The 18,280-nt window shown below is 38.7% G+C and overlaps 1 protein-coding gene across 6 annotated transcripts in view; it reads left to right on the forward strand.

The window, feature by feature from the left end:
* CSRNP3 (cysteine and serine rich nuclear protein 3) overlaps window positions 1–18,280 on the forward strand; it is a 219,710-nt gene that overhangs the window by 189,064 nt on the left and 12,366 nt on the right. For all 6 annotated transcript variants that reach the window (XM_047445908.1, XM_024453155.2, NM_001172173.2 and 3 more), the window contains one exon: window positions 17,551–17,847. In XM_047445908.1, coding sequence (XP_047301864.1) covers window positions 17,551–17,847 — 297 coding nt within the window. The remainder of the gene's footprint in view (window positions 1–17,550; window positions 17,848–18,280) is intronic.

Genomic DNA, 18,280 nt, shown 5'->3' on the forward strand with positions numbered 1-18,280 from the left:
ACCATCAGATCTCATGAGACTTATCACTACCATGAGAACGCTATGGGGGAACTGCACCCATGATTCAATTATCCCCCACTGGGTCCCTGCCACAACACATGGGAATTATGGGAGTTACAATTCAAGATGAGATTTGGGTGAGGACACAGCCAAACCATATCAGCTACCTTGTGCCAGGAGGGAACACAGTGAGTCCACAATGGCTTGTGTGGCTGGAGCAGAGGCAAGAAGAATGAAGTAACGTGAAGGAGGCAGGAATGAGGCTTTGTAAACCATATTAAGGTATTTTTTCCTCTACTTCCTAAGGCCATCAAAAGTCGTCAAGAGTTTTAAGCTGAGTTGGAGTGGCAGAATATGATCCAGCTCACGAAATGGTGGGAGAAAAAGTTATGGGTAGGGTAAGTGGTGTTGAGACGGGATGGAATATATGAAGTTAGACCAGTTAGAAAGCTGTTACCACAGTCAGGGAGAGAGGTGACAGTAGGTTATATTAGACTGATGATGGTAGGGGAGTCGGAGAGAGATGAATAGAGGGAGAAATTTAGCAAACAAAATCAGCAGTGCTTAATGACAGGTTGGATTTAGGAGGAAGAGAAGGAGATTGTCAGGAATGACCCCTAAATTTCTGGCTTGCAAAACTGAATGGGTTGTAGGTGATAATACTGTTTTGCTATGACAAGGAACACAGGAAGGGGACAGGCTGGGGGTGGGATGTGGATAGTGAGATCATTTTTGGACATACTGAGTTTGAGGGGCTTTTGAGTTACCAAGAGATGTCAGGAAGGTATCCAAGTGGAAAAACTTATTTTTGTGCCACTTTAGAGATTAAATGGAGAGAATTATGACACTGAAAACATCTTTTGTCAACTAAAGACACTCTTCCGTTGGATTATCACCTTATCAATTGATAGGAAATATTTTTCCATCATTATTTAATGACAACGAAAATCTTTCTTAGGTAATCCAGCGTACTTAACATAAATGGTCGTTTGTTAAATACCTGAAGCACCATAAGCACAGCTGGGTTAGCATTACTTTTAGTTTTCAGAATAAAGTCAGTCAGCAGGGGTGTGATGTGTGTTTCAAAACATCTTGTTTTCATGTACTTTGCAATGTATGTACGTGCCATGTTCCCAATTTCATGGCAAAGCAGTCACTTAAATTAAGCTGGATACAAGCTAGCTTAGAGCATGTCTCTTACTTTGGCAGTATTTTTGGCAGGTTTCACTGAAAGTCTCGGGTCTCATTAAAAGTTTTGTCAGTAGCAATCCTCTATTATTGTTGTTGTTTTTTATGCTTGCTCTGCATGTAGCTTAATTTAGTAAAAATTCTCAGATTTGCTTCTCTTCTGAAATCCACCCTCTGCCTTTGTCACCCACGGCAAACCAACTCTACCCTCTACCCAAAGAGTGAAGTCGTTCTCCAAATTCAAGTATTGATAGCACAATAGTAATGGCTGCCAATTATTAAGTGATTTTATTTGCCAGGTACTTTATGAACATGATTTAATGTAATCCTCAGGAAGACCCAGTGGAATAGGTAAATTATTAGAACATGTTTACAACTGAGAAATAAAAGAAGCACAGAGATGTTAAGTTGGCTCATCCAAATAGAAAATGGATTCTATTATTACTTCCTATTCTTAAATTAATTGATTAGCTCCTATAGGCATTGAGAAAGACAGTCTTTGTACCTTTGGGGAGTCATCCTCTCTGGGGTCTGGTACTGTGTGCAGTGGTTTTTAACAGCTGGAGGACTGACACGCTGTCTGAGAACCAAAAGATTTATTGTGGTGAACTCCGAGACACGTGATACATGTGATGAATGTAAGGGGAAGTCACAAACCTACAGCAACCTTCTCCCATGTGCTATGTACTATAATTTGTATCCAGCTACTTCCATACATTTTTTAAATAAGCTGAATGAGAAAAGAAGGAGCCAAAAGACCACTCTATTACTAATTTGTTTTTTAAAATTCTGCTTATTGTTGGATGTTGGAGAGGCAATCATCTGAGCTAGTGTCAGGTATCAGTTTGTTATTGGTAATTGAAAACACAGTTTTCCCCTTTGGTGAAATGTAAACAAAAGGCATTTGGTTATAATCACTACTTCCAAATAAATACCAACCTAAAAGATAATGACATTTTGAGATGATCCAATCTTAACCTCACTGTGCTTAAAGTATTCAGAAACACATGTCACACAAAGCTAAAAGATCACAGCAATATGAACCAGCTTTTTAAAACTCTGAGGAGAATTAATGGAGAAAAACTTGTGTATATTTTCATTGTAATTCCTCTAGTATGTGAACTTTTATGATTTTTAAAATATTATTGACTGTGGTTTAGCTATCCAAAGCCAGCTACCCCAAAACATAGCTATTCAAAAATTTCACTCTGATACTTGAAATTTCACTTTTAATGTGGTATTTGTTTGAAATATAAACACCTCTGGTGTAAGTAACAAAATATAGATGCCCCTCAATTTGCAGTGGAATTATCTCCTGATAAACCCATCGTAAATTTAAAATATCATTAAGTTGAAAAATGCATTTAATACACCTAACGTACTGAACATTATGGCTTAACTTAGCCCACCTTAAACATGCTCAGAACACTTACATTGGCCTACCGGAGAGGAAGATCATCTGGCCACACAGTTTGCCATAAGGTAGCAGTTGTTCATCCTCATGATTGCATGGCTGACAGAGCTGTCCCAATACCCTGTATCATGCAAGGATATTGCTAGCCCAGCAAAAGATCAAAATTCAAAATTCAAAGCCTAGTTTCTACTGAATGTATATTGCTTTTGCACCATCATAAACTCATGAAAAGCCAAACCATCATAAACCAGGGACCTTTTGTAAATGTGGCTAAATTGATTTCATTATTTTGACTGGGGCAGCAGAAGGGTCATTGGTACGGAAAAGCATTCCAGAAAGAAAAGTAAGGATTGTTAAAGACAAACTTTGCTCACTGTGAGTTGGCCTGAGTTGGTCCTTTGTGAGTGACAGTGAATTGCCCGCTGAATAAGGAGTGAGGAAAGGCAGCATCTGACAAGAGAGACAGTTTCCAAACCCATCATTATGGAGACATGTAGTACACCATGGGAAACTCACCGAACTCAGAGCTAGATAGTTTTCCTTCTACTTCTTTGAGAACCAACAGCCCCAAAACAGGAAGAAGAAGTTCCTCTTTCCACTGTCCCTCTGTATCTTTCCAGGGTGTCTTTGCTGAGTTCCAAATAGAGAACACATTTATATAATGGCACCTCTCATAATGGGGCTTTAATAGAGAAATATGAGAAAAAGAAATACATGCATATACACTTCTAGATATTATAGTACATCTATAGATGTTATTTTGGAAACAAAATAAAGATGTTATTTTGAAAACAAAATAAAGATGTTATTTTGAAAACAAAATAAAAGTAGGAATGTATGTTTTGATCATAAAATTGCTCCTAATTTAGTAATTCATCTTCCAATCAAGTTATGATTTTAGATCTATCAAAAAATAATATGTATGTATTACCTTAGTAGAACAAATCCAATTCTATTTGGGGGAGTTCAAGTGTGTCTTTTTTTGTTAGTGGTGCTGGTCTTTCAAACATTGTCTATAAACAACTAATAGAGAAAACTGATTGAATAAAATGCATTTCTAGAAGAAATAAGTAGCTTTAGATTTCTAAATTACAGAGCACAGTTCTTCTTCTCTGTCAAGCCCATTCAAACATGTCATACTCTTCACAGTAATCAATGCAGTCATCTTAATACTATACACTTTTCCAAATTAAGTGCTTAGATTTCATCATCTGCACCACATTGTTGAACAATTACATTAGACTTTATTCCCAATTCACATGTATCTGTAAAGTGCATTAGGCAGCCATTTGTATGTTTTAAAGAACATTGGTGTTCCAATTGCCTCTGGGTTCTATCATACTGGATTCTACCACCTTGTTCTAAGAAATTTAATTTAGCTTTCACAGCTTTGGCTTGCCTTTTTATTTTTTCAACCCAAGTTGTTCCTCCTATTTCTGAGATCCAAGTGTCTATCTTCATTCTTGCTGCCATTTCTAATTGCTTTTCAGAATTATGTACTTTTCTCAAGTTTTCAGTCATATGTTCCTTGAGTAATGTGTGGCTGTTACTTGCCCTCCTTCCCTCATTTAAAAAACAAACAAAAAAAGTTGGCAGATGGTAACTCTTCCTTTAATGATTAACCTTTAAAAAAACTCTACATAAATTTTTTTCATCCCAAATCTCAGATTTATGACTGCTTTGCCCATTTAGTGACTTACCAATGCAATATTATAATTCTCCACTTTACCTCCAGCCCTGCCCTTTGTATCTCCTCAAAAGTCTTTTGATTTATCTTCCAGATAAGGGCCTTAAATGCCCTGATAGATAGAAGAGATTAGAGGCTTTTGAGAAACAGTTGAACTATATCAATCATCAACATTTTTGGATGTGTTATTAACTATTTCCCCATACTCTGATTCTTTATTAGATGTGTCAGAACCTGCTGGTCATGATATGTTTGAACTCCACTTATCCTTACAGAATTTCTGTTAGATTGTAGAGATTATGCCACAGCATACTTAGTGTCAGAGCTTCCGGAATGCATCCCCAAATGGAGGCCCACTTTAACATCAAATGGAAAACTTTGATGTGCTCAATACCTGCTCTGTCACATACACAACCTATTTTGACAGAAAATAAACCTAAACAAAATGATGGAGACTGAAAGGGTGGGCTGCAGCCCTGGGCAAATGCAATACATTTAAGAATATGTTCTTTCAAAATATTGTTGGTGTTTTAGTTTAAATGGAACAACTAAGCATATGTAATCAAATCTTTAGTTTCTTTCTCTGCAACAACCATTGGACTGTTAATTTAGGGAAGTCAATTGCACTGATTCTACTGATTAAAATGTGGGGTATATTCAGTGATGTGCTGGAGCCAGCTTGTTAAAGTTGCTCACTAAAGTGGATTGTGTACTTCTCTTCCCAATGGTAGCTTGAAATCAGCTATGATGGGTGTATTTAAACCATGAGATTTGGCAAACATGACAAATTAGATTTTTTTTTCCAGAGTGTCAGTTGTTAAATATTTACTAGCATTCTACTAGATCCGTCTGGCTTATTAGCTACCACTGAAAGAAGCGATGTTGGTCTAAATCAGAGGGTAGGAGAAAAAAATTTGAGAGGAAATTTTCATATGTCTTATATGTCGATACTATCATCATCCCTCCTGGTGACTGTGTGGTAATATGTATTCCAGGGTCCTATTGTGACTTCAGGTTGTTGAAATTCTCATAAGCTAACAAAACAACCAAACATTCCTAGTTCTTCGAGGGTATAATTAAATTGGTTCCAGTTTGCCACCTGCAATTAACAGCTAATGAGCTAAAGAACTATATTATAAGATGTGACTCAATATCCAAATGATATACATATTTTCCTTTAGTTTTCCAGAGACCTTACAGACTAGGTCACTGTCCAACTTGTACCACAAAACCAGGAATTTATTGTATTAAAAACATATCCTATGCTTTCTAGCCTCTTATTGAACAATTCTGGTGATCCAGAGCACACAGCTTTTTGAAATAGCGCATTTCATTTTGCAGCTTTAATTGTTAGAAAGCTCTTCCTAACATTGAGCAACCTGCTGCCATGTGACCCGAATTCTGCCCCATAAGTACACAGAGTAAATCTTCCCTATTTTCCGAATTCTGGCTGTTTGAAAGCAATGGTGATGGACATGCAAATATTTGAAGAAAGCTTATGGGCTCTATATGTTTCTGTTCTGCAGGATTAAACATCCTTGGTTCTTTCCACTGATCCTCCTGGGGCATGGCTTTTAGGCTCTTTGTTGCCCTGGTTTCCTTCCTCTGGATACAGGGCTATTTATGTCTCCTTTATAATATGGTACTTGACCTGGACATGGTGCTCCAGGAATATGTTACGTTATCTTCTCCCAAGTTCGGGATGTTCTTTCCATGGAATACACTAAGGATATAGTGGCTTTTGGACTGTGATCAATTTTTTTTTGTTCTTAGTAAGCTGGTGGTAAGCAAAAAACAAACAAACAATAAATAAGCTAAACTAAACAAAAAACAAGCAAACAAAACTCAGATCTTTTAAGCCAACTCTGCATTATGATATAAACCAAAATTTTGTAACATCTCCATGGCAAAAGCCCTCTTTAGTGCTAGACATGGCCTGTAGAGAGTGATCAATAAAGTTTTGTTACATTTAATTTCAATAAACTTGGTCTTGTCATCTGTAGATGTGATAAGCTTGCCTTTTAGGTCTTCATCCAGGTTATGGACTTAAAATTGCATTTAACAAAACAGGGCCAAGTTTAGGATATCCTCTCAAGGTAGCTATCCTCAAGAGTAAAAGGAGAAGCACCCCACCATGACCCCCAGGGAGAAACATTGCCAGGGTGCGCCACTGCTACTGATAGGATGTATAGATGCCGTTATCCTTCATTCCTGGCCTCCTTGTTGGTACAAAAGAGGCTGAGCATCACTGGTATTAGAGGCATTTTTACTGCTCAGCTAACTAAAAGTCATATATCCAACCATATTCTTATTAATCAGATTACATTCCATTTTCCACATGAAGAGCATAAGAAATTCTGTCAGAGTGAAAGAATGGGAAATTCTCAGAACTATATTCTTGTCTTAGAGACAAAATAAGAAATTCTCTGGCCGGGCAGGGTGGCTCGCACCTGTAATCCCAGCACTTTGGGAGGCAGAGGCTGGAGAATTGCTGGAGGCCGGGAGTTAAAGACCAGCCTGGGCAACATAGTGAGACCCCTTCTCTACAAAATAATTTAAAATTTAGCTGGGCAGTTGCATGTGCCTGTAGTCCCAGCTACTTGGAAGGTTGTGATGAGTGCATCACTTGGGCCCTGGAGTTCAAGGTTGCAGTGAGCTATGATTGTGCCATTGTACTGTAGCCTGGGTCCCAGGCGACAGAGTGAGATTCTGGGAAAAGAAAGAAAGAGAGAGAGAGAGAGAGAGAGAGAGAAAGAGAGAAAGAGAAAGGAAGGAAGGAAGAAAGGAAGCAAGGAAGGAAGGAAGGAAAGAGAGAGAGAAAGAAAGAGAGAGAGGAAGGAAGGAGGGAGGGAAGGAAGCAAAGAGAGAGAGGAAGAAAGAAAGAGAGAGGAAGGAAGGAAGGACGGAAGGAAAGAGAGAGGGGAAGAAAGAAAGAGAGAAAGGAAGGAAGGATAGAGAGGAAGAAAGAAAGAGAGAGAGAGGAAGGGAGGAAGGAAGGAAAGAGAGAGGAAGAAAGAAAGAGAGAGAGAGAAAGGAAGGAAGGAGAGAGAGGAAGAAAGAAAGAGAGAGAGAAAGGAAGGAAGGAAGGAAGGAAAGAGAGAGGAAGAAAGAGAGAGAGAGAAAGGAAGGAAGGAAGGGAGGAAAGAGAGAGAGGAAGAAAGAAAGACAGAGAGGAAGGAAGGGAGGAAAGAGAGAGAGGAAGAAAGAAAGACAGAGAGAGGAAGGAAGGAAAGGGAGAGAGGAAGAAAGAGAGAGGAAGGAAGGAAAGGGAGAGAGGAAGAAAGAAAGAGAGAGAGAAAGGAAGGAAGGAAGGAAAGAGAGAGGAAGAAAGAGAGAGAGAGAAAGGAAGGAAGGGAGGAAAGAGAGAGAGGAAGAAAGAAAGACAGAGAGGAAGGAAGGGAGGAAAGAGAGAGAGGAAGAAAGAAAGACAGAGAGGAAGGAAGGGAGGAAAGAGAGAGAGGAAGAAAGAAAGACAGAGAGAGGAAGGAAGGAAGGAAGGAAAGAGAGAGGAAGAAAGAGAGAGAGAGGAAGGAAGGAAGGGAGGATAGAGAGAGATGAAGAAAGAGAGAAAGGAAGGAAGTAAGGGAGGAAAGACAGAGAGGAAGAAAAGAGAGAGGAAGGAAGGAAAGAGAGAGTGGTGTTAAGAGAGAGAGAAAGGAAGGAAGGAAAGAGAGAGGAAAACAGAAAGAGAGAGGAAGGAAGGAGAGAGAGGAAGAAAGAAAGAGAAAGGAAGGCAGGAAGGAAAGAGAGAGAGGAAGAAAGAAAGAGAGAGAAAGGAAGGACGGAAGGAAGGAAGGGAGGAAAGAGAGAGAGTAAGAAAGAGAGAGAGGAAGAAGGAAAGAGAGAGAAAAAGGAAGGGCGGAAGGAAGGGAGGAAAGAGAGAAGAAGAAAGAAAGAGAGAGAGGAAGGAAGGAAGGAAGGAAAGAGAGAGAGGAAGAAAGAAAGAGAGAGAGAGGAAGGAAGGAAGGAAAGAGAGAGAGGAAGAAAGAAAGAGAGAGAGAAAGGAAGGAAGGAAGGAAAGAGAGAGAGAAAGAAAGAGAGAGAGAGAAAAGGAAGGAAGGAAGGAAAGAGAGAAAGAAAGAAAGAGAGAGAGAAAAGGAAGGAAGGAAGGAAGGAAGGAGAAAGAAATTTTCAGGACTAGAGCACTGGTTTTCCAACTGTAATCCATGGGGTCTGAGATTAGGGACCAGGGCAGAAAGCCCAAGATGCAGATCTCATTCTCACTTTTATCTTCCATATGTTAAGCTTCTGCGTGGAATTTTAATTGAAAAATGGACACATTCCCTGTAGTAAACTTAGGCAATAGTCTAATAATTACTGCTCTTTTTTGTCACATGTACAGAGACCATCTTTTTAAGTATTTTTTTCTAGAATATTGTTATTCAGAACTAGCTTTTTTTTAAAAAAAATTGTTCTCACTTTGATTATCTTGTAATTCTTTACTCCATGACTCTTCAAAACTGTTACACTGCACAACCATAACTTCAAGCTGTTTCATTGCCTCAAAACATAAATTGTCTGGGCCTGGAGATTCTTCCATAAAACAGCGGAGTCCTCTTTCGCTGTCTCCTCACCTCCCTTTTGCTTTAAATCCTTCCTGACATGCCTGTTCTCACATTTTTGGTTTGAAGGTTTTTCTTTTTGAAAAAGACTATGGAATCTGAATAGGAAGTAAATAATTCTGCTTTGTGACTTTGTACCTAGCCTTCCTTTTCATGTCTATTCTCTCTTCCACCCCACCACTTCAATAACTTGCACATATATTTTGTGCTCTTACAACATTATATCATATTTATTACACGGTCATCTCCCCCAGCAGACTGGAACCTCCTTATATGGCAGAACTGTTGTACATCTATAAAACTCCATACCTAGTACAGTGCTTGGCAATATGCCATAGTGATTAAGAATATTCACTTATTCATTTTAAAAATGTATTAATCAATTACTATGGGACTGGTAATTATCAAGGTGCAAAGGATACACTGGTAAACAAGACAGATGCCATCTCTGCTCTCAACATGCTCACAGTATGATAGGGGAGATAAACATTAAATCAATCACCAAAGCTAATATAGTCTTACAACACTAGACCACAGGCTATACAGATTTCTCAGGCCAGGATAAATAAGTTAAAAGTCAGCTGAGAAAATCAAAAGAGTAATACGTTAGCTCAACCAGCTTTATCTGATGTCCTCTCCATTAGAAAGGCCACCTCCACATGCCCAAAAAGTAGGACCCAAAGGAAATACTAACTGGTGAGATGTTGTATCTTTGGTTTGCTCTCTGTTTTCTTCTTTCCTGAGCTCTTGCTTTCTGTGTCTGAATCATATCCTTTCTTTCTTTCTTTCTTTTTTTTTTTTTTTTTTTTGAGACAGAGTCTCGCTGTCACCCAGGCTGGAGTGCAGTGGTGTGATCTCAGCTCACTGCAACCTCCACCTCCTGGATTCAAGCAATTCCCTTGCCTCAGCTTCCCAAATACCTGGGACTGCAGGTGCCTGCCATCAATCCTGGCTAGTTTTTGTATTTTTAGTAGAGACAGGGTTTCACCATGTTGGCCAGTCTGGTCTTGAACCCCTGAGCTCGTTATCTGCCTGCTTCAGCCTCCCAAAGTGCTGGGGTTACAGGTGTCAGCCACCACGCCCAGCCCATATCCTTTATTTCTGAGTGAGCTATTTCTAGGGAAGCTTATTCTGCTCTTTTATCTCTTGCCCCACAGCACTGAGATCAGCTCTTAGAGTGTACTGCCACGTTGTCTTTTTTTGTTTCCTTTTGTTCAGTTTTTCTACCATTGCTCTTAAGAATTTTTACTCCAACTGGTCTTGAAAGCATGGCTCAAGCTTTGGAGTCAAATAAACCTAAGTTTGATCTTCAACATCATCATTAATTGGCTATTTAGCTAGACTTTGGCAAATTATATTCTCCGAACTTCAATTTTCTCAACTACAAAAAAATTTTACTTTATAAGATTGTCATGCAAATTAGGTGAGATAATTTATATACAGTATGGAACTTAATGGCTAGTATTTACTATATGGCAGCTTAGGTCATTCTCAACATCATCATCCTTATTATAATATGCAGTAATCAGTGTCTGTGAAGTTGAATTAGTTTTTCACATTCTTGTTTCTGGAAATCACTCTCTTTTTCACACGTGTGAATAATTCAGTAATGACCAGAAAATTTTGTTAGTAAACATAGCTTTTAAGTGCTAAAAAGAAGTGTTTTTATTTTTGTTTTTTGTTTTATTTTGTTTTGCCCTGGCATTTTAGTCAATCTATACTTTTAGTATTGTTTCTCTCTTCTAATCATTTTATTAGTTGAATTGAATTAGGTGTTTGGGGGCCCTTGATGGCACCAAAAATTTCATCTCATTAAAATTTATGGAAGAACTCATTCACAACATGATATGGTAAAAACAAACAAAAAGTTGAGCCTTGATTTTTATTTGGGATCCCTATATTTGGCTCAAAGCTGTCTGGGTATCATTCCACTGATTCTGACAGTAATGTGTCCCATCCCTCAGGTATGTTTAGATGGGCAAAATGATTTATTTCTATAGGGCTTTGGGAATGGTTTTCTCACAGTTATCAGTGCATACGAATCTGCAAAATTAAGATGTTTGGTTTCCATCTGTCAAAAAAAAGTTATAGTGGTTTTATTTGTAGAGAGTCTGAACAAGTTTACACAGTGGCTTAAGAACTAAGTCCATCTTAAGTGTCATCATTGAAACCAAGCATACACACATGTGCATGCGTGCCCACTCACACATGCCCACCCCACACATACATACACACAGGGGCCTTGACCTGGAGATCCTAACAGTACAACATAGATACATGCATACAGAGATAGGATAAACATAAAATAAAGATGATTAAGTCAAATCATAAATTAAGTCAGTATTCATCACCTGTAAACTAGCTAAGCCAAATGGCAAAGAAGAATTTCTCTCTGGATAACTGCTATTTATCTACTTTTAGCTCTTCAATTATGGACCAAGACAGGGAGTGATCCCATGCAAGTTCAATCATCTGGATAATTTATAGGTCAATGACTGTATCATGCTCTGTCCTATCTCAGGCCTTTGAAACTATTGTTGCTCAGCATGGAATGCCTTCTGTCACCACTGTTCATTTAACTGCTACTCTATTTTCAGATTTGAATATTGAAGTCTTCCCACTTCACCCCACTGCCAGCCCCACTGCCACCCTCCTACATAACCCTCAAATGCCCCATGTTCACCCTAAGCTAGGAAATCCTTATGAACTAGGTTAAAATTACTAGACTCCTTGTCTCTTTACTCCAGTTCATTGGGATCAAGGGCTGTATGTTGTGCACCAGTACACCTAATGCCTGATTCCAAATAATCATAAAAGATTGTTCAGTACCTGTTAAGTGTATTAAAAGAATAGATATATGTAATTATTACTACTTTTAAGAGCACAAGCTGTAGAGTCACATAGTAGGGTCGTAACTTGATGCACATCCTCATTACTTGCAATCTTGGGCAAATTATTTAACATTCCTGTGCCTCATTTTCCTCATCAGTTAAATGAATACAATGATAGTATTTGCCTCATGAGATGTATATGATCCTAAATGAACTAATGCAGGTAAAGTGTTTAGAACAGTGCCTGGCACACAGATGCGAAAGCTGTTATTAATATTATGTCATATCTGCTTCTACCACTTCTTTAACCCCCACCTGCAATTTCTCTTTCTTTCACACTCAAGAAAACACAGAAATAAAAACAGATTTAAGAGTCAAGGCTATTTGGTAATCTCTTTAAATCACATTTTTTGCAGACTTGCTTTGAGCTCTTGGGGAGGCAACATTATTTTTTTGAAAAAAAAAGAAAAAGAAAACACTACAGGAGAAATGATTCAAGTCCCAGATTGGCAGTATCTACTTGAGAAGAGAGCATTCATTTGAAAGTGCTGGTTATCCTATCAACAGACTAGCTTTTAGACACATTGTGTTTAATTCCATGTTAAATTCCCAGCTTTGTCTTGAGTACCATAGAAAACTCATAATCTATCTGTGAGATATAAAGAAAAGCATACTGAAAGAGGAGTCAGGAAATTGGGCTCTGTAAGTATGTCTTAGAGAAGTTACAATTAATTTAAGCTTCATTAATGCATGAAATAAGGATGTTGCATTTGACTAACTAAAGTCTGAACATTTAATGATTCTATTTGAGATAGAAAAAAAGATTTTAAAGGTAGCATCATGTCAAGAGGAAAAAAATGGACAAAATGAATACCACTGTGAATGAAGATGGGTTGTATTAATAAAGAAAACGAGGTTTAATGGACTCACAGTTCCATTTGGCTGGGAGGCCTCTCAACCATGGCAGAAGGTCAAAGGCATATCTTACAAAGGCACATGGAAGCTGTCAAGGCTTGGGGCTTGCACCCTCTGAAGCCATGCCCCGAGCTGTAACTTCACCCCTTTTAGCCATGGCTGGAGCAGCTGAGACACAAGGCACCACATCCCTTGGCTGGACATAGCAGGGGGGCCCTGGGCCAGGCCCAGGAAACCATTTTTTCCTTCTAGGCCTCTGGGACTGTAATGGGAGGGGCTGCTGTGAAGGTCTCCAACATGCCCTGGAGACATTTTCCCCACTGTCTTGATGATTAACATTCAGCTCTTTGTTACTTATGCAAATTTCTGTGTCAGGCTTGATTTCTCCCCAGGAAATGGGTTTTTCTCTTCTATTGGATTGTCAGGCTGTGCATTTTTCAAACTTTTATGCTCTGCTTCCTCTTGAATGTTTTGCTGCTTTGAAATTTCTTCCACTAGATAACCCAAATCATCTCTCTCAAGTTCAAAGTTCCACATATCTCTAGAGCGGGGAAAAAATCCACCAGCCTCTTTGTTAAAGCACAGCAAGAGTCACCTTTGCTCCAGTTGCCAACAGGTTCCTCATCTTCATCTCAGCCCACCTCAGCCTGAACTTGATTGTCCATATCACTATCAGTATTTTGGTCAAAGCCATTCAACAAGTCTCTAGGAGATTCCAAACTTTCCCACATTTTCCTGTCTTCTGAGCCCTCTACATCTCTAGGAAGTTCTGAACTTTCCCACATTTTTTTCTCTTCTTCTGAGCTCTCCAAACTGTTCCAACCTCTGCCTATTACCCAGTTCCAAAGTTGCTTCCACATTTTCAGGTATCTTTACATCATCACCCTACTCCTGGTACCAGTTTACTGTATTAGTCTGTTCTCATGCTGTTGGCAAAGACATACCTGAGACTGGGTAATTTATAAAGAAAAAGAGGTTTAATGGACTCACAGTTCCACGTGGCTGGGGAGACCTCACAATCATGGCAGAAGATGAAAGGCACATCTTACATGGCAGCAGGTGAATAGGGAATGAGAACCAAGCTAAAAGGGTTTCCCCTTATGAAACCATCAGGTCTCATGAGACTTATTCACTATGGTGAGAAAAGTATGGGAAAAACCACCCCCATGATTCAATTATTTCCTACTGGGTCCCTCCCACAACATGCGGGAATTATGGGAGCTACATTTGGTTGGGGACACAGCCAGACCATATCATGCATCATGGAGGAAAGGAGTCAGCAAGAGTAAGTGAGGCAATCCTGGCTGACTGCCTCCATTTATTCACACTAGCTCTTGAGAGGGTAATTGATGTGAGTGGGTGGACAAAATTAGGGAGCTCATTGACTTTTTCCCCTAAAATGCATTTGGAAATAATCTATGTAGTGCTCTGATTTTAAAGAGCATTTGAACTCAGTAGTTTTGGCCTGGTTTTTAAAGAAGCAAATGGGCACAGACTGGAAGAAAAGACTGGGGAAGGACTTCAAGGGGATAGCAGGGAATAGGAATATGTCTCGAAGGCTACACACCAAACCAGAAACTGTGAGGAGGAGAGGATAGGCCAGTGACCAGCCTAAGCTAGAGTATCTCCAGTCTTTATTAGAAATGATAGAGATGATATTGAGATGATGAAGACAAAACCCTGCCAGCTCACTTCAATGTTAATGTCAGATTTTGAAAATCTAGATTAGAAAACTTATAGTTTATTGAGCAAGAGTGAAACAGTATGTAGCTCTTTTTTTTTTTTTTTTTTTTTTTTGAGACAGGGCATCACTCTGTCACTCAGGCTATATTATAATGGTGCAATATTGTCTCACTGCAACCTTTGCCTCCCAGGTTCAAGTGATTCTCGTGCCTCAGTCACATGAGTAGCTGTGATTACAGGTGTACCCCTCCATGCCTGGCTAATTTTTGTATTTTTAGCAGAGATGTGGTTTTGCCATGTTGCCCAGGCTGGTCTCGAACTCCTGACCTCAAGTGATCTGCCTGCCTCCGTCTACCAAAGTGCTGTGATTACAGGCATGAGCCACCACAGCTGGCCAGATTCTTAATTAAATTTTTATTTTGAAATGAAATTCCTTATTCTAATTTTAGTATGCAGGAATAAGAGATGCAAATTTTACTTCTAAGGGCACTTATATTTGGAGTAAACTGAATCTGCAGTTCATATGACATACAGTTGTTTGTTTTTTAATTCTTAGGCACGAATTGGTTATTCATGTTGCCCTAAAAATTTTGATGTTTTTAAATATTTGCTAAAATCTTACTACATGTTGACTTTTAGATTTCATATATTATCTGATAACAACCATTTTTTAAAAATTAGGCTGATAACCATTTTTAAAAAATAGAGGTGGCTCATGCATGTAATCCCAGCACTTTGGGAGGCCAAGGCAGGTGGATCACCTGAGGTCAGGAGTTCGAGACCAGCCTGACCAACAGGATGAAACCCCATCTCTACTAAAAATACAAAAATTAGCTGGGCATGGTGGCAGGCGCCTGTAATCCCAGCTACTCAGGAGGCTGAGGCAGGAGAATCACTTGAACCTGGGAGGCTGAGATTGCAGCTAGCCGAGATTGTGCCATTGCACTCCAGCCTGGGAAACAGAGCTAGACTCCATCTCAAAAAAAATAATAAATATAAAATAAAATAAAAATAAATCAATCTCTGTTGATATAAAATGGAGATTTTGTTGTTGTAATGTTACCAACTGCACAAGTAAGCATAAATATTACAGAACGTGGAGATTAAGTAGGAAGTATTAAAGGGAATCATGCTACCCAAGTCCTGGGTGTGCTACATGTGCTGAGGAGTCAGGACTTTGCTGAGGTTCACAGAGACAAGCCAAGAATTAATGAAAACAAACCAAAGTGCCATACAGTGGTAAGATGTAAAAGGGAACACTTCCTTTCTGTTACTACAGCTTTACCTATCACAGAGGATCGAGTGTATGTTAGGCAATTATAACTTGAATTCCTTAGAAAATCAGATCTTTACAGCTAAAAACATGCAGCTTGTTACAAATAACAATTAACAAAAACGACAAACACAACCAGTCAATGTGACATCCTACTAGTGGCTATCACAGTTTAAACAATACATATGTAAAGAAATGCCAAGGAAGGAAATAAATTTTAGATTATACCAAGAGACAAAACCCAATAAAGAGGAATGTGTACCTTTTCATGATCACAGATTTTAACTCTGAAACATATATATATATATAAATAAAATATATATATTTATACCTTATAAAGTATTCATATATATATAAATACTTCTGAATATATATATATATATATATATATATATATATAATTTGTTTATTTATTTAAATAGGGTCTCACTCTGTCACCCAGGCTGGAATGCAGTGGTGCAATCATGGCTCACTGCAGCCTGACCTCCCGGGCTCAAGTGATCCTTGCACCTCAGCCTCCCAAGCAGCTGGGACTACAGGCACCCACCACCATGCCCAGCTAATTTTTGTGAATTTTTGATAGAGATGGGGTTTCATCATGTTGCCCAGGCTGGTCTTGAACTCTTGGCCTCAAGCAATCTGCCCACCTTGGACTCCCAAAGTCCTGGGATTACAGGCACGAGCCACTGCACCTGGCCTTTGTGATATATTTAGTATATACACTTGCTAGTGTGTTATTTCCTCTATGAAAGTTTCTCTGCTTGAGGGCAAAGTCCAATCTTCTATTTGTTTTTTAATACATTCAGAGTTTTCCAGTTTGAGGATTTTTTCTAATAAAAATTCTTATCTGAATGTTAGACTTTTTCCTGTAAAGATGAGACAATGATGTCTGATGTTGCAAGTATTTTAAGTGTGTGATGGATGAACTGTTGTTAAGCTCACCAAGCATAGTAATAATTATAATTAATAAATTTTAGGAAGTGATAAATTTAAATATGAAAGAATTAAAATCCCTTCTGTATTTAGAACTTCCATGATTTTTCTCATGGAGTTTCTGCATTAATTCTATGCTGCTCCTCAGGGTAGATATCTTGCTCATATTCAGAGAAAACTTCTTTTTCTAAATGCTTTTTTATGAAGGAAACATAACGTGATACAATAGTAAGAAATGAAGTACTTATTCAGGGCTTACTGATGGATGAGATTAATTTAGAGAAGAAATATAAATAGAAGCAGACTAATCATGTGTATGTGAGACCGTTTCCACATGAGCTATTATGCAGAAGGTACCATTTTGGGTGAGGGTTTGTGTGAACTCCTCTGAGGGCAGAGTTTATTGTTTCAGCTGTTGGTTGCTGAGAGCTTGAGGGCCCTGCCCTCTGTTCTTTGTCTTACTAAGAGCATGCTGACCTGACTGATTACTTCATATCAAGCCCTCATTCTTGGAATGTTCTGTAGAATAATCATATTTGTAATCCCTGTAGCACAGTGCAGCACACCTTTATTTCCTGGTGTATGGTTTTGCTGGAACTCAAAAGACAGAGTTGTTATTTCAAGGACAACATATTTGCTGAGTTAGGTGGTGATGGCTTCCACAAGGATGCTATTATCTCTGAACAAGGACACATTTATTCCAACATTGGAGCTGCCTATCATGAAATGAGTCTAAAGATAGTTTTCACTGATGAGCATTTGTAACCTTTGGTGTTTTTCACATAGCACTCTCTAAAAGCTCCAACAACTGTAGCTCCTAACATTAGGAGTTTATGAGTTCCAATTAACAGTCTTCTGTTACCCGTACATTTAAAAGCCTAACATTTTGATGCCTTTATTTTTCTTTCTGTGATTTCTCCTAAAGATTAAAAAAATGATCTAACAAACACTTGTTGATTATGAGGACATGATGATATATAATAGTTCATTCTCACCCAGTACAAACATACAGATTTTGTACCCTGCCCTTAATGAGTCTCTTATTTGCTGCTTTGTGTTTTTAGATGACTAAGAATGGCACAGTAGAATCAGAAGAAGCCAGCACTCTTACACTGGATGACATTTCTGATGATGACATTGACCTGGACAACACAGAGGTAGATGAGTACTTCTTCCTACAACCTTTGCCAACAAAAAAACGAAGAGCTCTGCTGCGTGCCTCTGGAGTGAAAAAGATTGACGTGGAAGAAAAGCACGAACTCCGAGCCATCCGCCTCTCACGAGAGGACTGTGGCTGTGACTGCCGAGTGTTCTGTGATCCAGACACGTGCACCTGCAGCCTGGCTGGCATTAAGTGCCAGGTAAGGGTTGGGAATTCAGGGCATCCAAAGACAAGACATTGTCTACCACCCCCTAAGGAGGCAGTCATGGTACCTATAATGAAGCTTCCCACATGTAAAAGAAAATTTTTTGGCAAGGCAAGACATGTAATTCAGGAAGAAAGACATAATTCAGGAAGAGAGAAAGACTAATTTAAGGCCATTCATGGGAATACATAAAATGCTTATACATATAACATATAATCTGAAAGACAACCCAAGTAGCAGCTGAGTTAATTAAAATTATTTTATCTTGGATTCTTGTATTATATCACCTTATTTCAGCTTTTTACCAATGTTGAAGGAGATCATGACATCCCTAACACTGGAGTGTGTATTTTCTGATCCATCCATGGGATATAAAATGATGATTGATTAAAGGTGGTTGGATTAGTGGAAAAATTACTAGATTGAG

This window comes from Homo sapiens, chromosome 2 (assembly GCF_000001405.40).
Source record: "Homo sapiens chromosome 2, GRCh38.p14 Primary Assembly".
Lineage (NCBI taxonomy): Eukaryota > Metazoa > Chordata > Mammalia > Primates > Hominidae > Homo > Homo sapiens.